Here is a 22,304-nt window from a genome sequence, read left to right as displayed (position 1 = left end):
CTGGAAGCCTTCCTCATCTCTGGGGTGGGTCAGATGTAGCCGTTTTTGCCCTCTCCCTACACACCCTGTGTTTCCTCTCTCCCAGCATTCATCTCGTGACGTACAATAAGCAATTGACTAACTTATCCTTAAGGCCAGGGCCATACCAGCTCTTCTTGTTGACAAATGAGAGAGCAGCGAGCACTTTTGCCCTCTAATGGCATCTGCGGATCACTAGCTGGAGGCCTTGGGACTCTAAGAGCCAAGCTATTCAAGTGCTACAAATAACACCACATGGCCCCCGGTCTTTCCTGTTTCCTCCCTGCATCTATCAAGAAGGAGCAGCTGTTTTTTGAAGCCCTGCTTTCCTTCCCACAGCTTTGCTCACCCCCACCCTGCTTGGCCTCCAAACTCAGAGCTTTGACTTTCCTATAAATACAGTTTCTCTCCAAGTCAACTTGATTCATTCATGCAGGGTCCTAGTTCTCTCTCTCGGCCATTCCAATTCTCCTCTTTCCATTACATTTAAGAGAACCCAGACTGGGCATTGTGGCTCACACCTGTAGTCCCAGCACTTTGAGAGGCCAGGGCAGGTGGATCATCTGAGGTCAGGAGTTTGAGACCAGCCTGGCCAATATGGCGAAACCCCATCTCTACTAAAAAACAAAAATTAGCTGTGTGTGGTGGCACATGCCTGTAGTCCCAGCTACTCGGGAGGCTGGGGCAGGAGAATCACTGTAATCTGAGAGGCAGAGGTTGCAATCACACCACTGCACTCCAGCTTGGGTGACAGAGTGAGACTGTCTCAAACAAAAACCCCAAAAAGACCAAGAAAAGGGCATTCATTTATGGTATAAGAGCGGAAACCAAAAGGCAGAGGTTCCTCGATGGATCTCTGCTGGGACCGTGCTTATCAGCCATTCAACCTCTTCACCACCCGGCGCACATCCAGAAAAGCCCCGCTGGGATTGATTTAGGGGCTAAAAGTAAACATTATCAAGTAGGTGAATTTGCAGCTACAGAATCTGCAGGTAATGCGGATTGATTGTAGAGGCACCAATGAACTGGAGGTCAGATTTTCAACTTAACCTTCCAGGAGATGGCCAGCACCCAAGAGCTAGAAAAAAGGATTCCTGGAGGGTGGTGAAGAAAATAGAAGTCTCAGAGGCTCAGAGACAGATGAATGTAATCCCTCAGCTGTCACCTGAGCTCTGGCTATAAAATGAGACAACAGATGAAGAATAGTAAGCATAAGATTGAGGCCAGGCTCGGTAGCTCATGCCTCTAATCCCAGCACTTTGGGAGGCCAGGCAGGTGGATCATCTGAGGTCGGGAGTTAGAGACCAGCCTGGCCAACATGGTGAAACTCCGTCTCTACTAAAAATACAAAAAAAATTAGCCAGGCGTGGTGGCACATGCCTGTAATCCCAGCTACTCGGGAGGCCATGGCAGGAGAATCGCTTGAACTGGGGAGGCGGAGGTTTCAGTGAGCTGAGATCTCACCACAGCACTCCAGCCTGGGCAACAGAGCGAGACTACATCTCAAAAAAAAAAAAAAAAAAAAAAAAAGATTGGGGCAGTCAGAAGCGACCACCGTCAGCAAAGGAAGGATGAAGGGGAGTGAATAAAGGGTCTACAGGAGAATTAAGAAAGTGTGGGCCCTTGGGTCCATTCGGTGAAGTGGAGCCAGGTCACTGGCGAGTGTGCCAGGGAATCAGTTAAGGATGAATATGAAGCTTGAGGCCAGGCCAGCATAATTGCCCTGTGGGCGTCTGTATTTCTTTACATTTGCTGACTGTCAATCCAGCCTCCTGTGTTTCTGTGAAATATAAAGGAAGAAATGCTGTGACTTCCCCTCACTCTAAGGTGAAACCAAAGAAGGGGAAACTGAGAGACCTGTCCGAAATCCTCCACTGAGTCACTGGGGAGGATGGAATAGATACAGCCGGTCAACCGATCTGTTCTCTAGGCACAGCTTTTTGGATCTGCCACTTGCATCTGCTTCAAGTTTTAGAAACTTCCAGGCTCTGGCTTTTTTGCTGCTTTGGGGAACAAAGCATGTTCGCTCAAGTGTACAGCAAACCTGTCCCGCTCTTAAGTCCAGTCATCTTCAAAATAGATTTTTGAGGTTTATAGTGCTACTCTCCAAATGTCATTATCATCCCCAAAGTGAAAAAAAAGGTTTAATTATTATGAGCAGTGAAATTACCATATAATCTTCCAATTAAATGAATAAGGCACCAAATAAGTGCACTCAAGCCTTAATTTCTACCTTGAAGTTAAGATAGGTATCATGCTTACCTGGATCATCCTACAGATCCTCAAAGTGGGCAGAGTTGAAAGGCTGTCTAAGCGGGTGGGGTGGAAGGCGGTGCCCTTCCACCCTCCTGTCTGTTTGTCGAGCTCTGTTGGTCCTTCTGATTGGTTAGCGACCATGAGTGTTTCTGAGAGCCTTTTGTTGTATGCCGGGGCAGAACCACTAATCTGACCAATTCCAAGCAGAAAAGATCAAGTATAGATTTCATATCTGAGTTTTAAGTGCTAGTAAAAATTTGCATTAAGTTATCAAATGCACTGCGATCCTGGCTTCATCGCCAAGTGGCTCTGCAGTTTGAGGGACGCTGCATCCCTAAGAAAAGAAAAGAAAATTGTTCCCTTTAGATGCTTAGGGTAAAGGGGGATTGATCCAGTTACTTTTCAGTTAATCTAAGTCAGATGGTGTTCGCTGCGTAACTTTCTAAGGTTGGTACTTTATCAAAGAACAAAGTGTGAATTTTTTTTTTTTTTTTTTTTTTTTTTTTTGAGACGGAGTCTCGCTCTGTCGCCCAGGCCGGAGTGCAGTGGCGCAATTTCGGCTCACTGCAAGCTGCGCCTCCCGGGTTCATGCCATTCTTCTGCCTCAGCCTCCCAAGTAGCTGGGACTACCGGCGCCCGCCACCACACCTGGCTAATTTTTTGTATTTTTAGGGGTTTCACCGTATTGAAGTTCTTTGGTTGAAAAGGCATGAAGAAGTTTCTACCAGTCCTGTTTGAAATAAAATAATAGTGTAATCTAAAGATTGTAATACAAGACCAACACATTTAGAGTAACTTTTTAAAATTGGTTGACTGATGTGCTTCTCTCTCTCTCTCTTTCCATAGACGTGTGTGTAGCATATTACATAGAGAAATCTATAAGCCCTGGGTTATGTTGGTTGCTGATGAGGATTAATAGAAGCTACTACTCACTTATTCACCTTTGATCTGCTCTTGTTCTGGTAGTGTTCTTCATTGTGTCATTCATTCAAGAACTGTTCATTGGGCTGGGTGCGGTGGTTCACACCTGTAATCCCAGCACTTTGGGAGGCCGAGGCGGGTGGATCATGAGGTCAGGAGTTTGAGACCAACCTGGCCAACATGGTGAAACCCCACCTCTACTAAAAATACAAAAATTAGCTGGGACTGATGGCATGTGCCTGTAATCCCAGCTACTCTGGAGGCTGAGATAGGAGAATTGCTTGAACCCGGGAGGCAGAAGTTGCAGTGAGCTGAGATTGCGCCACTGCACTCCAGCCAGGGTGACAGAGCAAGACTCCATCTCGGGAAAAAAAAAAAATTGCATGGTCATGTCAGCATCCTCCCCACCCCCCCCTTCCCCAGATCAACCAAAAAAATGGAGAAAAATCTGGAAGGCCACTCCTTTAGACCACTCATGCTAAGTATGAGTGCACACTCACAAAGCGTGCAAGCCAGCTATATTAGTTCATTCTTGCATTGCTATAAAGAAATATCTGAGACTAGGTAATTTATACTTGATCTTAGCCAAAAGGCTGAGAAGCAATGGGATTGGGTAATTTATAAGGAAAGAGGTTGAATTGGCTCACTCTTCTGCAGACTGTATGGGAGGCATAGCAACTTCTGCTTCTGGTGAGGTCTCAGGAAGCTTCCAATCATGGCAGAAGATGAATGAGGAGCAGTCCTCTTACATGGCAGGAGCAGGAGCCAGAGATAATGACTGGGGGAGGTGCCGTGCACTTTTTTTTTTTTGAGACAGAGTCTTGCTCTGTCATCAAAGCTGGAATGCAATGGTGTGATCTCAGCTCACTGCATCCTCTGCCTCCTGAGCTCAAGTGATTCTCCTGCCTCAGCCTCCCAGGTAGCTGGGATTACAGGCGCCCGCCGCCACGCTGGCTACTTTTTGTATTTTTACGAGAGACGGGGTTTTGCCATGTTGGCCAGGCTGGTCTTGAACTCCTGACCTCAGGTGATCCACCCACCTCAGCCTTTCAAAGTGCTGGGATTACAGGCGTGAGCCACCACGCCCGGCCCCACACACTTTTTAACGACCAGATCTCATGAGAACCCACTCACTATCCTGAGTACAATACCAAAGAGAATAGTGCTAAACCATTCATGGGAAACCTGCCCTCATGATCCAATTGCCTCCCACCAGGCCCCAGCTCCAACACTGGGGATTACAGTTCAACACACAATTGGGTGGAGATACAGTTCCAAACTCTATCACCAGCCCTCCTGCTTTCACCTCCCCCGTTTTAGACAATCAGTGTTTGAATTGCCTCTTCCACTTCTGTGCCAAATTATGACTCTGAAGAGGATGCCTCTCTGCCCATTGTTGGACATTATGGGCTGTACAGAGTGCTCCTTTTTCTGAAGCAATGACGTTGGCCATCAAGATTCATGCAGTATCTCCTGTTCTGGTTTTTTTTTTTCCTTTTCTTTTTTTTTTTTTCTTTTCCTTTTTTTTTTTTTGAGACAGAGTCTCCCTCTGTCTCCCAGGCTGGAGTGCAAAGGCACGATCTCGGCTCACTGCAACCTCCGCCTCCTGGGTTCAGGTGATTCTTCCACCTCAGCCTCCCGAGTAGCTGGGATTGGCTAATTTTTTTTGTATTTTTGTAGTGATGAGGTGTCACCATGTTTGCCAGGCTGGTATTGAACTCCTGACCTCAGGTGATCTGCCCACCTCAGCCTCCCAAAGTATTGAGATTACAGGTATGAGCCACCGTGCCTGGCCTTTTTTTTTTTTTTTTTTTAGTGGCACTCTGAGTGTTTGCATCTTCTACCATGCAAACAAAGCCCAGTCCAGAGACAGTGTCTATTCCTGTCAAGACCTAGATGTAGAACCCCAGGGCTGCCAGCATCCAACTCATTTGCCAGTTATGTTAAGAGCTTTCCCACAAGGGAATGTGCCTCACAGCCATGGGCAGTCTCTTTTCTCTTGCTGGGAGACAAAACAGTTTTTTTTGTTTTTTATTTTTATTTTTTTGAGACGTTGTTCCACTCTTGTTGCCCAGGCCGGAGTCCAGTGGCGTCATTTCGGCTCACCGCAACCTCCACCTCCTGGGTACAAGCAATTCTCCTGCCTCAGCTGAGATTATAGGCATGCACCACCACGCCTCAGTAATTTTGTATTTTTAGTAGAGATGGGGTTTCTCCATGTTGGTCAGGCTGGTCTCCAACTCCCAACCTCAGGTGATCCACCCACCTCAGCCTCCCAAAGTGCTGGAACTACAGGCTTGAGCCAGCGCAACCAGCGACAGAATAGTTATTGGCATTTTGAGCCCGAGGGTCATGGCTAGATTCAGCCCATCTCTGCACTGCTGCAGAACCGCCTTGTTCACTCATTTCATGGACCCAGGCGACCACCTCACAGGAGCACACAAAAAAAACTCACTTGGTGACTCCAGCCATCTCCTGAGCCTGGAAGGGAGTTTTTCTGATGGGCATGAACCTGTTCTACTTCAAGACATCTTTCACATCTCCACAGGGCTCTGCCCCACATGGATGTCCCGTTAATAAGCCAGGTAGCTATTGCCCTCTTGCCTGAGTGTACAGCCAAGACACTGGTCACTGCCCAGGAGTCAGTAAAAACCCAAACACGGGGCTGCTACCACTGTTCAACTGATCAAATATATATTTCACAATATCACACTCCTGTAGAACACTTTGGAACATGTACCATGATTCTTTGAAAATCAGTTATTGACATCATTCTAGTATAGATCAGCAGCTAGGAAAACAGCATGCAATTCAACTCACTGAGCTGACTGATTTTTACAGTCTTTAGCCAGAGTAGCAGCCCTCCAAACAGGATGTTGTTTGTTCACCTCAAAATTGTCATCCATAGACCAAACAGCTGGGGGTGAGTGAGTTGAGAGCTGGTTATATAGGGCATTGTCGAACTGTTGAGAGAATCCAGCAGCTCCTCACTGTTCCAGAGTCAGTTGTAGGAGAAAAGAGGCTCCCTCCTTGGGAATATCTCCTCCCTGCATTCCCCACAGAGCATGATGCTGTATAAACCATTTCCGTTTTATTATGTTTCTTTTTTTTTTTTTTTTTTCTGAAATGGAGTCTTGCTCTTGTCGCCCAGGCTGGAGTGCAATGGTGTGATCTTGGCTCACTGCAACCTCTGCCTCCCAGGTTCAAGCTATTCTCCTCCCTCAACCTCCCAGGTAGCTGGGATTACAGGCATCCACCACCACGCCTGGCTAATTTTTTGTATTTTTAGTAGAGATGGAATTTCACCATGTTGGTCAGGCTGGTCTCGAACTCTTGATCTCAGGTGATCCACCCACCTCGGCCTCCCAAAGTGCTGGGATTACAGGTGTGAGCCACTGCGCCCAGCCTCATTAGAGTGTTTCTATGACATCACCTGAGACAGCATGGGTATTTCAGGTGTCAAGATCATTTTATGGGCCAGGAGTTGTCGCTGGGAGACGGTGACAGGCTTTTGCCATATGCTGCTTTAGAGGCTCCATAGAGGGGTTATCGAAAGAATATGTCCCTCCCAGCTCAGCATCTTCCACTCTGCACTTTGCGGGCTGGGGGCAATCTTACTGGCTCCCATCTCACGTCCCATTAATATTGCTTGAAGGACAAGTCAGATACAAAGTCCATTCCCTAATACAATCAGGTAAAAGAGATGTAAACATTTCATATGAAGCATGTTCAAATGCACCAACTTTCATAATTCTACCAACCCTTACATTTTTAAGTTCTAGATCCAGGAGCTTCTCTTCTCCACCAGCCAGTGCAAAAGGCTTTGAGTCGCCAGCAGAGGGTTGAGCCAAGGAGCCTTGGCCCTTTTGTCAATCTTTATCTGGATGAACCTGCCTCAACATTGGCCCAGGTGATTGCTGATCAGCTTTCTCATTGTAATCTCTGCTTAATGACTTTTAAAATTTCTCCAAACTAAGGTGAATACAGCAAACCCATTTGGAACTCCTTAATGTTGGCAGCCAGCAAGGGCTCTTTTTGGTCCACCCAACCTTCAATAGTGTTGTATTAAGACCTTTGTTTTCACCCCATCAATTTCCATTCTATTCGTCTCATTTCTTAAGCACCACTAAGGGTTTTCAGCCTCCTGCGATGAGTCCCATGGCACTTCCCTTTTTCCTCTTAGTTTTAGATTTATTAATGTTTTCTTTAATTTCTTTATCTCTTAATAACTGCTTAAATACATCCACCTTCATGGGATGAGTCCTTTGACTCTGTCCTCTGCTTTTCCACATTATTTTATTAATTGCCCTAATGTCTTTTATTAGCATCTATAAGACCCATGAGGGGAAGCTGAGATAGCAAATTCAATAAGTCTTCTCCAAACATAGCTTGATTTTGCAGCAGTGAGATTGCATGAGGTGTCCATGCAAATGGGGCCCCTTAATCACAGCATTTCCCATGACCTGGGTAACAGGCAATGTAGTGGGTGGATATCCCAGTCACCATAAAGCCAGTCCCATGTGGCTTGCATACAAAGCATGTCAGCTGCTTCATCTGGAGCGCTCCACTTGGCATTTATAGATGGAGTTGGACAGTCCCCCTTCTCAGGGTAAACACACATTATGGAGGCTTTTATCCAGTCTACTAGGCTGGCTGTTGCCTCAGGAATAGCCTGCTGTATGTCCAGATCGTATATAGCCATCTGAGGTTGTTCCATAGTGAGCTGTGGATCCTGCATCAACCCAAACATGCTCCTCCCCTCTGCAGCATGTAAAACCAAAGATACTGCCCCTAAATTAGTTACTCTCACAGTCCATTTTAGTAAAGGTCCCTTAGGGAGTTGAAGATACTGAACCACAAAATAAAACAGTTCCTTCACACTCTACCCCTTCGTTTCAGTAGTTACTTAATTTTGCCCTTCCCCGAAATTCACTACCTTCTTAGTAACCACAGGTCTCAGAGGCATTTTCTGTTGTTTCCGCATAATTTTGCCCTTAGAGAATGGCTCCAAAGCTAGTGGCCAAAGCTCAGACTCACTGACATCTAAGGTTGGTGTAGCATTGAGGCTGGACCTAGCGCTCTCCTTTATTTTTATTTTAGCTATTACAGATAACAATAAGCAAAGGAGTGAATATTTCACTTCTTTGTTATTAGTTTGCATTTCCTTGCACATCCAGTGAACCAACTTCCCAAGAGTTGGATCTATCTCCAAATTCCAGTGGTAACTTTCACCTTTAATAACTGAGTGCAGCACAGCTGTGACTTCATACCATGGGTGACCATGTGACCATCCAGGAATCAAAGGTCCCTTATCCTCCATCCTCTCATTCTTTTTTTTTTGAGACAGAGTCTGGCTCTGTCACCCAGGCTGGAGTGCAGTGGCAAAATCTCGGCTCACTGCACGCTCCGCCTCTCAGGTTCACATCATTCTCCTACCTCAGCCTCCCAGGTAGCTGGGACTACAGGCGCACGCCACTACGCCCAGCTAATTTTTTGTATTTTTAGTAGAGACGGGGTTTCACTGTGTTAACCAGGATGGTCTTGATCTGTTGACCTCGTGATCTGCCCGCCTCGGCCTCCCAAAGTTCTGGGATTACAGGCATGAGCCACTGTGCCCGGCCCCTCTCATTCTTTCTCTTCCCAAAGCACATGTTTCTATGAGCCACGGCCACGGCCAGAAAATCCCACTTCTGACACCAGTTGTGTAAACACACACACACACACACACACACAAACTCAAAATACTTTCTCTATTCTTTCACTCAACAACAATCAACACAGAATATTTTTGTGACCAAATGTTTGGGGATTCCTCCCCACCAACAAGCAAACAATCAATTCTGCAGCAAATACCAGCTGGCTATACTCCAATTCAATTCTGACACCATCTACCTGGAGATAGCATCATATCCCACAGATTGAGGGCTCGGTCCCCAAGACTATTGCCCTTCCTCCCAGCAGTCACAATCTGGGCCTCCAGAACTTTTGAACAACCAGCTTCAAGTTGAGCTTCCCATAACCCCCTCCTTGGGTTCCATCAATATGGAGTGGTTCATAGAAAAACTTTAGGGAAGATTACTTATGTTTATCAGTTCATTATAAAGGCTATTACAAAGGATACAGATGAAGAGACACACAGGGAAAGGGATGGGGAAGGAGTGTGGAGCTTCTATGCCCACCTTGGGTGCCCTGCCCTCCAGAAACGTGTACATGTTCTGCTATACAGAAGCTCTCCAAACCCAATTCTTTTGGATTTTTATAGAAGCATCATTACCTAGGCACAATTGATTAAATCACTGGCCATTAGTGATCAATATAACCTTCAGTTCCTCTCCTCTCCCTAGAAGTTGGGGTTAGGCTCAAAGTCCCAACTCTCTAATCTTGCCTTGGTCTTTCCAGGGACTAGCCCCCATTCTGAAGCTAGCTAGGGGCTGCCAGCCATCAGTCAACTTATTAGCATACCAAAACACATCACTTTGGAGATTCTAAGGGTTTTAGGAGTTGTATGGAAGGAAACATGTGAAAGATCAAATATATATTTCACAATATCACACTCCCGTAGAACACTTTGGGACTCATATCACGATTCTTTGAAAATCAGTTATTTACCTCATTCTGGTATAAATCAATGAAAATGACCGCGGCAAGTTGTAATCATTTTAAGGGGTTTATTTGCCAAAGTTAAGGACACCCACCAGGGAGACAGGTCAATGCCTTTCTCCAAAGATAATTTTAAGGGCTTCAATATTTAAAGGGGAAAGGATGGATATTGGGGGAATATACAAGTTTCATATGAGAGTGAGTAGAGGAAATAGTCATTCATGCTGTCACTTCGTCTGGCTAAGGGAATCTGCAATATTACATAAGACAATGTAAACAATAGGGCAGAGGAAGCAATCAGAAATCAGATATACATTTCTGATTGCTCTCAGGCAAGCAGAAGGATGACTTTGAGTTCTGTCCTGTCCCGTCCTGCATCTGTGGATAAGCTATCAGTTGATATTGCCTGGGTGAAATTCAACAGAACTGTTTTCAATAAAGATCTTGGGGCCTGCAAGGAATCTCCTTGTGGGCAAAAGGTGAGCGATGTATGTAGCTTTTTATCTTTGTAGCCATCTTAGTTAGGAACAAAATGGGACGCAGGTTTGCATGACTCAGTTCCCAGCTTGACTGTTCCCTTTGGCTTAGTAAGTATGGGGCCCCAAGATTTATTTTCCTCCCACACTGGTCTTTCTATAGTCACTGGATTATTTGAATATTAATGGATTTTCATTGTAAATGTGATGAGGATGACAATCCCAAGAAGGATTTCCCTGTGTCTTTCGGAAGACAGAGGAGAGCTCCCTCCATTCTTAGGGGTTCATGTCGTGAACTCCTCATCTGTATTCAAAAAATGGAAACCTAAGAACTTTGGTCTAAGCTTTTCTAAGATTTGCTCTACCCAAGCCTTTCAGGATACTCCTTTGAGGAAGGTTTTAGCCATGGCAGTAGCTGTAAGAGTTTCTGCTGATACACAGTGGGAGGATTCAACAGGGAAGAGTATCTTGGAGTTACACATGAGCTGTACCAAGATCCCTGAGTGATGTGAAGCTGATAAAAAAGAGTCTACATCCAGCTGGTCATGTGGCTCACGCCTGTAATCCCAGCACTTTGGGAAGCTGAGGCAGAAGGATCACCTGAGGTCAGGAGTTCGAGACCAGCCTGGCCAATATGGTGAAACCCTGTCTCCGCTAAAAATAAAAAAAAATGGCCAGGCATGCTGGCACGCGCCTGTAGTCCCAGCCACTCGGGCGGCCGAGGCAGGAGAATTGCTTGAACCTGGGAGGCAGAAGTTGCGGTGAGCCGAGATCGTGCCATTGCACTCCAGCCTGGGTGATAGGAAAAAAAGAAAAGAATCTACACCCTCCCATTTCCTCTCCTCACCAGTTTAACAAGGATCAACAGAACATCTCCAGGCTCTACTGGATTCCAGGACTGATTTCTTAACAGAGTGTGCACAACTGCCGTCTTCCAGGATAGCAAATACTTGCCCACAAATAGAGTTAGACTGTACAAGTTCTGGCTGAAATTATTAAGAAATAAAGTAGTTTTGACTGATCCAACATGATGGCTAATTTGACCCGGAGGGAATCATTAATAAACAGCTGCATTAGTAGTTGTTCTTTAAAAAGGATCTCTCTTCAACCAGCCAAGAAACCAAGGTGTGGGAAGTTCAGTGGCCTGACTGTGCCCAGCACACTGGAATGCATGAGCTTGCCTACCGGGAAAGGAGCATGCCCAAAAGGGCATGAGATTGGGAGCAGCTCATCTGTCAACTGCCTTTTGTTTAAGGACAACATTGGCAGCTGGCTCCTGCTCCACCCCACTTCCTACCTTCATCCTGGGAGATGCCTGGTCCACAGGGCATCTTCACTCTCAGTCCTGGCATCCTTGTTTCCAGCAACCTTCTGCACCAACCTCTTCTACCTCTTTCCATGGCCACTCCTGGACGTTTCCATAACCTGCAAATCCACCTTGAAATCATTCCTCAAACAAATCGTGGGCACAGCCTCCTGCCTTTCCAGCCTGCTGTGTGATTCCCTCACTCTGACCTTGCTGGTCCTCATCAGGATCTCTGATCCCTTGGGCCCCTCGCCTCTTCTATGCTCATTTCCTTTCTTATAATTAGCTTGGAGCCCGCGGTTCATCATTTTGAGCAATCTCTCGACAATATCCCCCTTCAAACTTGTCGGACCAAAACCCACAATAAGAAATCTAATACATATGAGCCTGGCGCAGTGGCTCACACTTGTAATCCCAGCACTTTGGGAGGCTGAGGTGGGTGGATCATTTGAGGTCAGGGGTTCCAGACCAGCCTGGCCAAAAACAAAAATTAGCCGGGCATGGCGCGGGCACCTGTAATCCCAGCTACTCCGGAGGCTGAGGCAGGAGAACTGCTTGAACCAGGAAGGTGGAGGTTGCAGTCAACCGAAATTGCGCCACAGTACTCCAGCCTGGGTGACAAAGGGAGACTCCGTCTCGGGGGAAAAAAAAATAGAAATCGAATACTTATGATCTAAGGGTCATCTGCATACGTGTTTATCTATACACATACATATACACACAAGCCTCTTTCAACTTTAACTCAATCATAATTATTTAAAAATCTCTCCCTGAACATCACTTCTTACAGCTATGTTTCTCTCTTTTTTTTTTGAGATGGAGTCTTGCTCTTTCGCCCAGGCTGGAGTGCAATAGTGTGATCTCAGCTCACTGCAACTCCACCTTCCAGGTTCACGCCATTCTCCTGCAGCAGCCTCCCAGTGTCCGCCACCACGCCCGGCTAATTTTTTGTATTTTTAGTAGAGATGGGGTTTCACCGTGTTAGCCAGTATGGTCTCGATCTCCTGACCTCATGATCTGCCCACCTCAGCCTCCCAAAGTTTTGGGATTACAGGCGTGAGCCACTGCGCCTGGCACAGCTCTGTTTCTCTCATCTTCACCACACTGTTGCCACAGTCATCTATACAAACTGTACTAGTATTCCTATTGCTTCTGTAACAAGTTGCCACAAACTCAGTGGCTTAAAACAGCACACATTTATTCTCTTACAGTTCTAGTAGTCAGATGTTTGCAATGAAGATTTCTGCATGGCTGCATTCCTTTTGGAGGTTTCAAGGCAAAATCTTTTTCCTTGCCTTTTCCCGTTTCTAAAGACTGCCTACATTCTTGGACTCATGGCTTCATCGTTCCAACTGCTGGTTCTGTTGTCACAACTCCTTTTTCTGACTGTCTGACTCTGACTCTCTTGCCTTCCTCCTTTTTTTTTGAGATGGAGTTTTTCTCTTGTTGCCCAGGCTGGAGTGCAATGGTGCAATCTCGGTTCACTGCAACCTCCACCTCCTGGGTTCAAGTGATTCTCCTGCCTCAGCCTCCCAAGTAGCTGGGATTACAGGCATGCACCACCATGCCTGGCTAATTTTCATATTTTTAGTAGAGATGGGATTTCACCATGTTGGCCAGGCTGGTCTCGAACTTCTGACATCAGGTGATCCACCCACCTCAGCCTCCCAAAGTGCTGGGATTATAGGTGTGAGCCACTGCACTCAGCCACCTTCTTCCTTTTAAGCACCCTTGTGATTATATAAACCCCTACCAGATAATCCAGGATAATCTCCCCTACTCAAAATCCTGAACTTAATCACATCTGCCAAGTCCCTTTTACCATGAATGTCTGGTAACATAATCACTGCCTGGGGATTAAGGCCTGTGGACATCTTTGGGGGCAGTTATTCTGCCTACTACATGGACCATCTTTGACTTTCTTACCTCCCACTCACTTTTCTTTTTTCTTTTTCTTCTTCTTCTTTTTTTTTTTTTTTTTTTTTTGAGGTGGAGATTATCTCTTGTTGCCCAGGCTGCCATGCAATGGCGCAGTCTCAGCTCACTGCAAACCCTGCCTCCCAGATTCAAGTCATTCAGCTGCTTCAGCCTCCTGAGTAACTGGGATTACAAGCACCTGCCACCACGCCCGGCTAATTTTGTATTTTTAGCAGAGACGGGGGTTTTCCATGTTAGTCAGGCTGGTCTTGAACTCTCGATCTCAGGTGATCTGCCTGCCTCAGCCTTCCAAAGTGCTGGGATTACAAGTGTGAGCCACAACACCTGGCCCCTCCACTCACTTTTCAACCTTTTCCAAACATGCTTCTGTCCCACACCCCATTCCATATGGTTTCAAAATGGTTCTTGAGGGCCTCCATGTTGCTGAAACCATGGGGTTGTTCTAACTGTCCTTCTTCTTGACCTTTTGGCACTGTAGACCAAACAGCTTGAGACATGGGCAGGCAGCCTGGAGGACCAGAGCATTTGGGCGATGGCTGGTCCTCATGAGCCTGTCCTGCTGTCACCCAGCAGCCCATCCTCGTGGGACTGAGGCTGGCTACAGAAGGCATTCCGCACCCCCTTGCTCCATGAGTTACCCAAGGCTCTGTGTGCCTAGGCTTTCTTTATTGTTTAAAAGTGTAGGTCAGATAACTGCAGGTGAAGTTTTCTTAAACATTTTTGTTTACATATCCAAAGTGGATAACTGGGTGAGCTTTCACAAAGTAAAACACATGCACACCATGCAGATCAAGGAACAGGGCATGGCCATCTCGCCTGAGCTCCTCGTTCTCCTCTCCCTTACGCTAGCTCCTCTCCTCCCAAAGGTAATGCTATCCTGGGTATAGGGATTTTTTTTTCCTTTTAAATAGACTTAATGTGTTAGAGAAGTTCTAGGTTCATAGAGAAATGGAGCAGAGGCCAGCTGCTGTGGCTCACACGTGTAATCCCAGCACTTTGAGAGGCCGAGGCGGGCAGATCACGAGGTCAGGAGTTCGAGACCAGCCTGACCAACATGATGAAACCCCGTCTCTACTAAAAATACAAAAAATTAGCCAGGCGTGGTGGTGCATGCCTGTAATCCTAGCTACTTGGGAGGCTGAGGCAAGAGAATTGCTTGAACCTGGGAGGTGGAGGATGCAGTGGGCTGAGATCTTACCACTGTATTCCAGCCTGGGTGAAAAAGAAAGAAAAACACAAAGGAGAGAGAGAAAGAAAGAAAGGAGGGAAGGAGGGAGGGAAGGAAGGAAGGAAGGAAAGAAGGAAGGAAGAAGGAAGAAAGGAAGGAAGGGAAAAGGAAAGAAAGAGAAAAGAAAAGAAAGAAAGAAAAATGGAGCAGAAAGTACAGAGTTTTCATCAACCTCTACTCCCACCTGCCACACACACACACATGCGCAGCTTCCCCACTAGCAATATCAAACCTGAGTGGGATATTTGTCATAATCAATAAACCTACATTGACACATCACTATCACCCAGAGTCCATAGTTTACATGAGGGCTCACTCTTGGTGTTGTACATTGCGTGGGTTTGGACATATGGACAATGACGTGGATCCACCATTGTAGTATCACGCAGAGTAGTTTCACTGCCCTAAAAATCCTCTGTCTTTCACCAATTCATTCCTCCTTTCTGCTGACCTCTGGCAACCATGGATATTTTCACTGTCTCCATAGTTTTGCTTTATCCAGAATGTCATAGTTGAAATCATAGAGTGTGCGGCCTTTTCAGATGGGCTTCGTTCACTTAGGAATATGCATTTAAGGTTTCTCCATGCCTTTTTGTGGTTAGATAGCTCATTTCATTTTAGTGCTAAATAACATTCCATTGTCTGGATGTGGGCCTAGGTTTCTTTGTTGTTGTTGTTGTTGTTTTTTAAGATGGGGTTTTGCTCTGTTTCCCCAGCTGGAGTGCAGTGGCACAATCTCATCTCACTGCAGCCTCCACCTCCAGGGTTCAAGCAATTCCCCCACCTCAGCCTCCAGCGTAGCTGGAATTACAGGGGCGTGCCACCACACCCGGCTAATTTTTTGCATTTTTAGTAGAGATGGAATTTCACCATGTTGGCCAGGCTGGTCTCGAACTCCTGACCTCAGGTGATACATCCGCCTCAGCCTCCTAAAGTTTTGGGATTACAGATGTGAGCCACAACACCTGGCCGGGCCTAGGTTTTTGAAGAAGGAATTGAACTGGGTGTAGGCCAGGTTGTACTGCTGAAGTGTCTTCTTTGTACTTGGAATGTGCTAGGACAGATAGACTTCAAAGTGCAAAGCGCCTGAAGGATCTGGCATTAGTCAATTCTATGCACTGAGCTTCTGTCCCCAGAATACCACTCTCAGAGTAAGAATATGGCAAGGCCGGTTGGCTAGGTGGGGCATGGATTGGAGGCTCAGGCCACTGCACTGCACATACAGGTCTTGATGTAAACGGTCTGGTGGAGGTCAATTTCTGTTTAGCGGGGATAGACTATGTGACAGAGTGAAGAAAGGTAATGGTCTACACGTAGAAAAAGATTCATTCCCACTCATGTGACAGTCTGGAGCAGGCAGCTCCTCTCCTCCTGAACCTGGGACCCAGGTATCTTCCATGTTGTGGCTCTGCTTCTCCAGAGCCTTGTCATTTTTTTCATCTAGCTATAGTGACAAGGTCTTTTGGATGAGCCGTCAATATTAAACCAAAGGCAAACTCTGAAAATTGATTTGACGTGTGGTCAGCTGCTCATCTAGCACAGTGTCAGGACTGCTGGGGTGATGGACAAGGTTTTCATGAGGAGGCTGAAGAGATCTAAGTATAGAGGTGCCAGCCTGGGGCACTTCAGAAGGGGCACTGGCCTAGGGGTAGCATCAGGGTGATCCTGATTTCCCTGGGGCAGGGTGTGGCTCACGACGGGGTGCTGAGAACCCATCAAGAAGGCTGGAACTTTCACTACTCATTGCTTTATGAGGGCCTGCCTGTGTGCCAGGCAGGAAGACACTGACCAGAGGCCCAGGGCCACTGAAGGGTCTCGGCCTGGTCTCTTGGTGCCTGGGGGGTACACTGTACAAGCGATGATGTAGTTCCAAGGGGCAGGATTCTGACCCACACTCCTGGTGCCAGTGTCCATTTTGCGACTCATGTTAGATTTTGCTTCTCTAAGTGAACTTACTCAGGATAGCTGGGTTCTTGGCCATTCTTCCAGTGGTTTTCAAGGGTGAAAAAAGGCATTTCAGCAAGACAGCTAACGTCTGGATGAGCGAGCCAGGAAGTGTCTGTAGCCTTCCTCTAGAGAGCACTCTGGACTGGTGGGCATGAGGACCCCAGTTTCATGCGCGTCCGCGTGAAGAGACCACCAAACAGGCTTTGTGTGAGCAACATGGCTGTTTATTTCACCGGGGTGCAGGCGGGCTGAGTCTGAAAAGAGAGTCAGGAAAGGGAGATAGGGGTGGGGCCGTTTTATAGGATTTGGGAAGGTAAAGGAAAATTACAGTCAAAAGGGGGTTGTTCTCTGGTGGGCAGTGTGGGGTCACAAGGTACTCAGTGGGGGAGGTTTTGAGCCAGGATGAGCCAGGAGAAGGAATTTCACAAGACAATGTCATCAGTTAAGGCAGAAACAGACCAATTTCACTTGTTTTGTGGTGGAATGCCTCAGTTAAGGCAGGAACCGGCCATCTGGATGTGTACGTGCAGGTCACAGGGGATATGATGGCTTAGCTTGGGCTCAGAGGCCTGACATTCCTGTCCTCTTATATTAATAAGAAAAATAAAAGGAAATAGTGGTAAAGTGTTGGGACAGCGAACATTTTTGGAGATGGTATGGAGAGATAATGGACGATGTTTCTCAGGGCTGCTTCGAGCGGGATTAGGGGCGGCGTGGGAACCTAGAGTGGGGGAGATTCAGCTGAAGGCAGATTTTGTGGTGAGGGGTGATATTGTGGGGTTGTTAGAAGGAACATTTGTCATTTAGAATTATTGGTGATGGCCTGGATACAGTTTTGTATGAATTGAAAAACTAAATGGAATAAGAGAAGGAGACAAACAGGTATAAAAGGTCTAAGAATTGGGAGGACCTAGGACATCTGATTAGAGAGTGCCTAAGGAGATTCAGCATAGTCCTGTCAGCAAAGATTATTTATTTAGTTCAAGAGTTAAGGGTGGCAGTTTGGGGATAGCACCAGGAGATATCAGTTGTGATAGCTTGGAGAAACAGTGTAAACCGGCAGTGTAAACAAGAGCAGGGCATGTATGAGTAGTTGAGAACAGTGAATAGGAGTATGACTAGACAGAAGATAGTAGGGATGACAAGTTTTTCTGGGGCACAGTCTAAGTTGGTCTGGTGTCTGGAATGAGACTGGGGCCTAATAAAAAGGAGCATCTATACAGGAGCTCCAATGGGCTGTATTTTGTAACATTCTGAGGACAGGTCTGACTTCTGAGAAGGGAAAGTGGTAAAAGTATTGTCCAGTCCTTTTTAAGTTGCTGACTGAGCTTGGTGAGGTGTGTTTTTAAAAGACCTTTAGTCCGTTCTACTTTTCCTGAAGACGGAGGACCGTAAGGGATATAAAGGTTTCACTGAATACTAAGAGCCTGAAAAACTGCTTGGCTGATTTGACTAATAAAAGCTGGTCTGTTATCAGACTGTATAGAGGTGGGAAGGCTAAACTGAGGAATTATGTCTGACAGAAGGGAAGAAATGACTGTGATGGCCTTCTCAGACCCTGTAGGAAAGGCCTGTACCTATCCAGTGAAAGTGTCTGCCTAGACCAAGAGGTATTTTAGTTATCTGACTCGGAACATGTTGAGTAAAGCTAATTTACCAGTCCTGGGTGGGGGCAAATCCCTGAGCTTGATGTGTAGGGAAAGGAGGGGGCCTGAATAATCCCTGAGGAGTAGTAGAATAGCTGATGGAACACTGAGAAGTTATTTCCTTGAGGACAGATTTCCATGATGGAAAGGAAATGAGAGGTTCTAAGAGGTGGGCTAGTGGCTTGTACTATAGCTTATCCTGCATTTCCTGGTGTGTGGCGATTAGGCCTGGTGGAACTGCCATCAATAAATCAAGCGTGATCAGGGTGAGGAACAGGAAAGAAGGAAATGTGGGGAAATGGGGTGAACATCAGGTGGATCAGAGAGATGCAGTCATGGGGGTCAGGTGTGGTATCAGGAATAATGTGGGAGGCTAGACTGAAGTCCGGGCCAGGAATGATGGTAATTGTGGGACTTAACAAAGAGTGAGTACAGCTGAAGGAGCCGGGCCACCAGAAAGTATATGCATCAGGTATGAGGAAGAAAATAGATTTTGGAAGTTATGAGAAATGTGGAGAGTGAGTTGAGCATAGTTTGTGATTTTTAGGGCCTCTAAAAGTATTAGGGTGGCAGCAGCCACTGCACAGAGACATGATGGCCAGCCTAAAACAGTAAGGTCAAGTTGTTTGGACAGAAAGGCTACAGGGTGCAGTCCTGGCTCTTGTGTAAGAATTCTGACCGCACTAAGCATGCCTAGGAAGGAAAGGAGTTGTTCTTTTGTAAGGGATTGAGGTTTGGGAGATTAATCAGACACGATCAGCAGGGAGAGCACGTGTGTTTTTATGAGAATTATGCTGAGATAGGTAACAGATGAGGATGAAATTTGGGCTTGACTGAAGTAATGGGGGCTGTCTGTGAAGGCTTGTGGCAGTACAGCCCAGGTAATTTGCTGAGCCTGATGGGTGTCAGGGTCAGTCCAAGTGAAAGCGAAGAGAGGCTGGGATGACGGGTGCAAAGGAATAGTAAAGAAAGCATGTTTGAGATCCAGAACAGAATAATGGGTAGTAGAGGGAGGTATTGAGGATAGGAGAGTATATGGGTTTGGCACCATGGGGTGGATAGGCAAAACAATTTGGTTGATAGGGCGCAGATCCTGAACTAACTTGTAAGGCTTGTCTGGTTTTAGAACAGGTAAAATGGGGGAATTGTAGGGAGAGTTTATAGGCTTTAAAAGGCCATGCTGTAGCAGGCGAGTGATAACAGGCTTTAACCTTTTTAAAGCATGCTGCGGGATGGGATATTGGCATTGAGTGGGGTAAGGGTGATTAGGTTTTAGTGGGATGGTAAGAGGTGCATGATCGGTCGCCAAGGAGGGAGTAGAGGTATCCTATACTTGTGGGTTAAGGTGGGGTAATACAAGAGGAGGATGTGAAGGAGGCTTTGAACTGGGGGAAAACGTGGCAATGAGGTGTGGCTGTACCCAGGAATAGTCAGGGAAGCAGATAATTTAGTTAAAGTGTCTTGGCCAAATAAGGGAACTGGGCATGTGGGGATAACTAAAAAGGAGTGTTTAAAAGAGTATTGTCTAAGTTGGCACTAGAGTTGGGGAGTTTTAAGAGGTTTAGAAGCCTGGCCGTCAATACCCACAACAGTTATGGAGGCAAGGGAAACAGGCCCTTGAAAAGAAAGTAGTGTGGAGTGGGTAGCCTCCATATTGCTTAAGAAGGGGACGGACTTATCTTCCACTGTGAGAGTTACCTAAAGCTCGGCATCCATGATGGTCTATGGGGCTTCCGAGGCAATTAGGCAGCGTCAGTCTTCAGCCACTAAGCTGAGAAGGGGTCAGTCAGAGAAGCTTGGGCCAGAGTTCCAGGGGCTCTGGGAGCAGCTGCCAGGTGAGTTGAACAGTCCGATTTCCAGTGGGGTTCCGCACAGATGGGACGTGGCTTAGGAGGAATCCTGGGCTGCAGGCATTCCTTGGCCTGGTGGCCAGATTTCTGACACTTGTAGCAAGCTCCTGGGGGAAGATGTTCTGGAGGAACACCTGGCCACTGCGGTTCAGGCGTTTGGAAGTTCTCGTGTGCTGGAGATGTGGCTGGGATTTGTCTCAGAGTGGAGGTAAGGAATTACAACTTTTTTCTATTATTGTACATCTTGAAGGTGAGGTTAATTAAATCCTGTTGTGGGGTTTGAGGACCAGAATTTAATTTTTGGAGTTTTATTTAATGTCGGGAGTAGATTGGGAAATAAAATGTATATTTAGAATAAGACAGCCTTTTGACTTTTTAGGGTCTAGGGCTGCAAAGCGTCTCAGGGTTGCTGCTGAACAAGCCATGAACTGGGCTGGATTTTTATATTTGATGAAAAAGAGGCTAAATGCTATCTGATTTGGGATAAAGAAAAAGGAGCATTATCCTTGACTATGTCTTTAGCTCCAGGCACCTGTTTAAGAGCAAATTGCTGGGCAGCTTGGGGAGGGCTAGTCATGAAATGAAACTGTAAGCCGGACCCGGGGTGAGGAGGGGAGGTGAAAAAAGGATTATAGAGTGGAGGAGTGGAGGCGGAAGAAGAATTGGGACTTAGCTTGGCCTGGCGAGGAGCAGCCTGGGGAGGAGGGGAGAGGTCAGATGGGTCTGTAGAAAAGGAAGATTAGAAAGACTCAGCAATGCTTGGGTTTGGGACTGAGGGGACAGGCGGGAGGGAAAGGAGGAAGATTTGGGACGAGTTGCTTTGGGCACAGAGACTAGGAAGGGACTGATGTGTAAAAGAATGTCTGGAAGTCAGGCACCTCAGACAGTTTGCTTATTTTACGGCAATAATTATTTAGATCTTACAGGATGGAAAAATTGAAAGTGCCGTTTTCTGGCTATTTGGAACTACTGTTGAGTTTGTATTGGGGTCAAGCAGCATTGCAGAAGAAAATAAGATGCTTAGATTTTAGGTCAGGTGAGAGTTGAAGAGGTTTTAAGTTCTTAAAAATACAGGCTAAGGGAGAAGAAGGAGGAATGGAGGGTGGAAGGTTGCCCATAGTGTAGGAAGCAAGCCCAGAGAAAAGAGAGAGTAGAGACACGGAGGGAAGGGGTTCAGGGGTTCTTACCCTACAGAAAAGTGGGAAAGGGGTCGGGGCACAGAGATACGAGGTCCAGGCATGGAAATAAGGGATTGGGGTGCAGAGATATAAGAGGTCAGGGTGTGGAAATAAGGGATTGGGGCACAGAGAAAAGGGGCCAGTGTGCAGAAATAAGGGATTGGGGTGCAGAGATACGAGGTTGGGGTACTTGTACCTCCCCCAGAAAAGTGGGACTTGCCACTAAGGGTGAAGGAGAAGGGGTTGGGGGTTTCTTGCCCCCCTGAAAGGTGGAGAAGGGGTAGAGACATGGAGAGAAGGGGTTGGGGTGCTTGCACCTCCCCCAGAAAAGCAGGACTTGCCACTAAGGGTGAAGGAGAAGGGGTTGAGGGGTATTTGCCCCTCCCCCAGAAAAGCAGAGAAGGGGTAGAGACATGGAGAGAAGGGGTTGGGGTACTTGTCCCTCCCTCAGAAAAGCGGGACTTGCCACTAAGGGTGAAGGACCAAGGCAGGCGTCCCTGGGTGGTCTGACACCTTTGAAACGTGGTTGAATAATCAGAGAGGCATCCCTGTAATGATTAAACACCAAGGGAAATCTGCCTTCGCAGTCCATGACCGGTGCCAGAGTTTTGGGTCCACGGATAAAACGTGTCTCCTTTGTCTCTACCAGAAAATGAAAGGAATTGAAATTAAGAGAATGGAGAGATTGAAGACTGGAAAGGAGAAAGTGGTTGATGGACAGGGAGAGGTTGGAGAAGAGAGTAAGAAGAGGCTGCTTACCGGATTTAAAATTGGTGAGATGTTCCTTGGGCTGCTGGGTCTGAGGACCTGAGGTTGTAGGCGGATCTTTTTCATGGAGCAAAGAACAGGAGGACATGGGATTGATCTCCCAAGGGAGGCCCCCCATCCGAGTCACAGCACCAAATTTCATGTGCGTCCATGTGAAGAGACCACCAAACAG

The sequence above is a fragment of the Homo sapiens genome, chromosome 3 (genome assembly GCF_000001405.40).
Source record: "Homo sapiens chromosome 3, GRCh38.p14 Primary Assembly".
NCBI classification, from domain to species: Eukaryota; Metazoa; Chordata; class Mammalia; order Primates; family Hominidae; genus Homo; species Homo sapiens.
The sequence above is the reverse complement of the archived record's forward strand: the minus strand, read 5'-3'. Positions refer to the sequence as shown.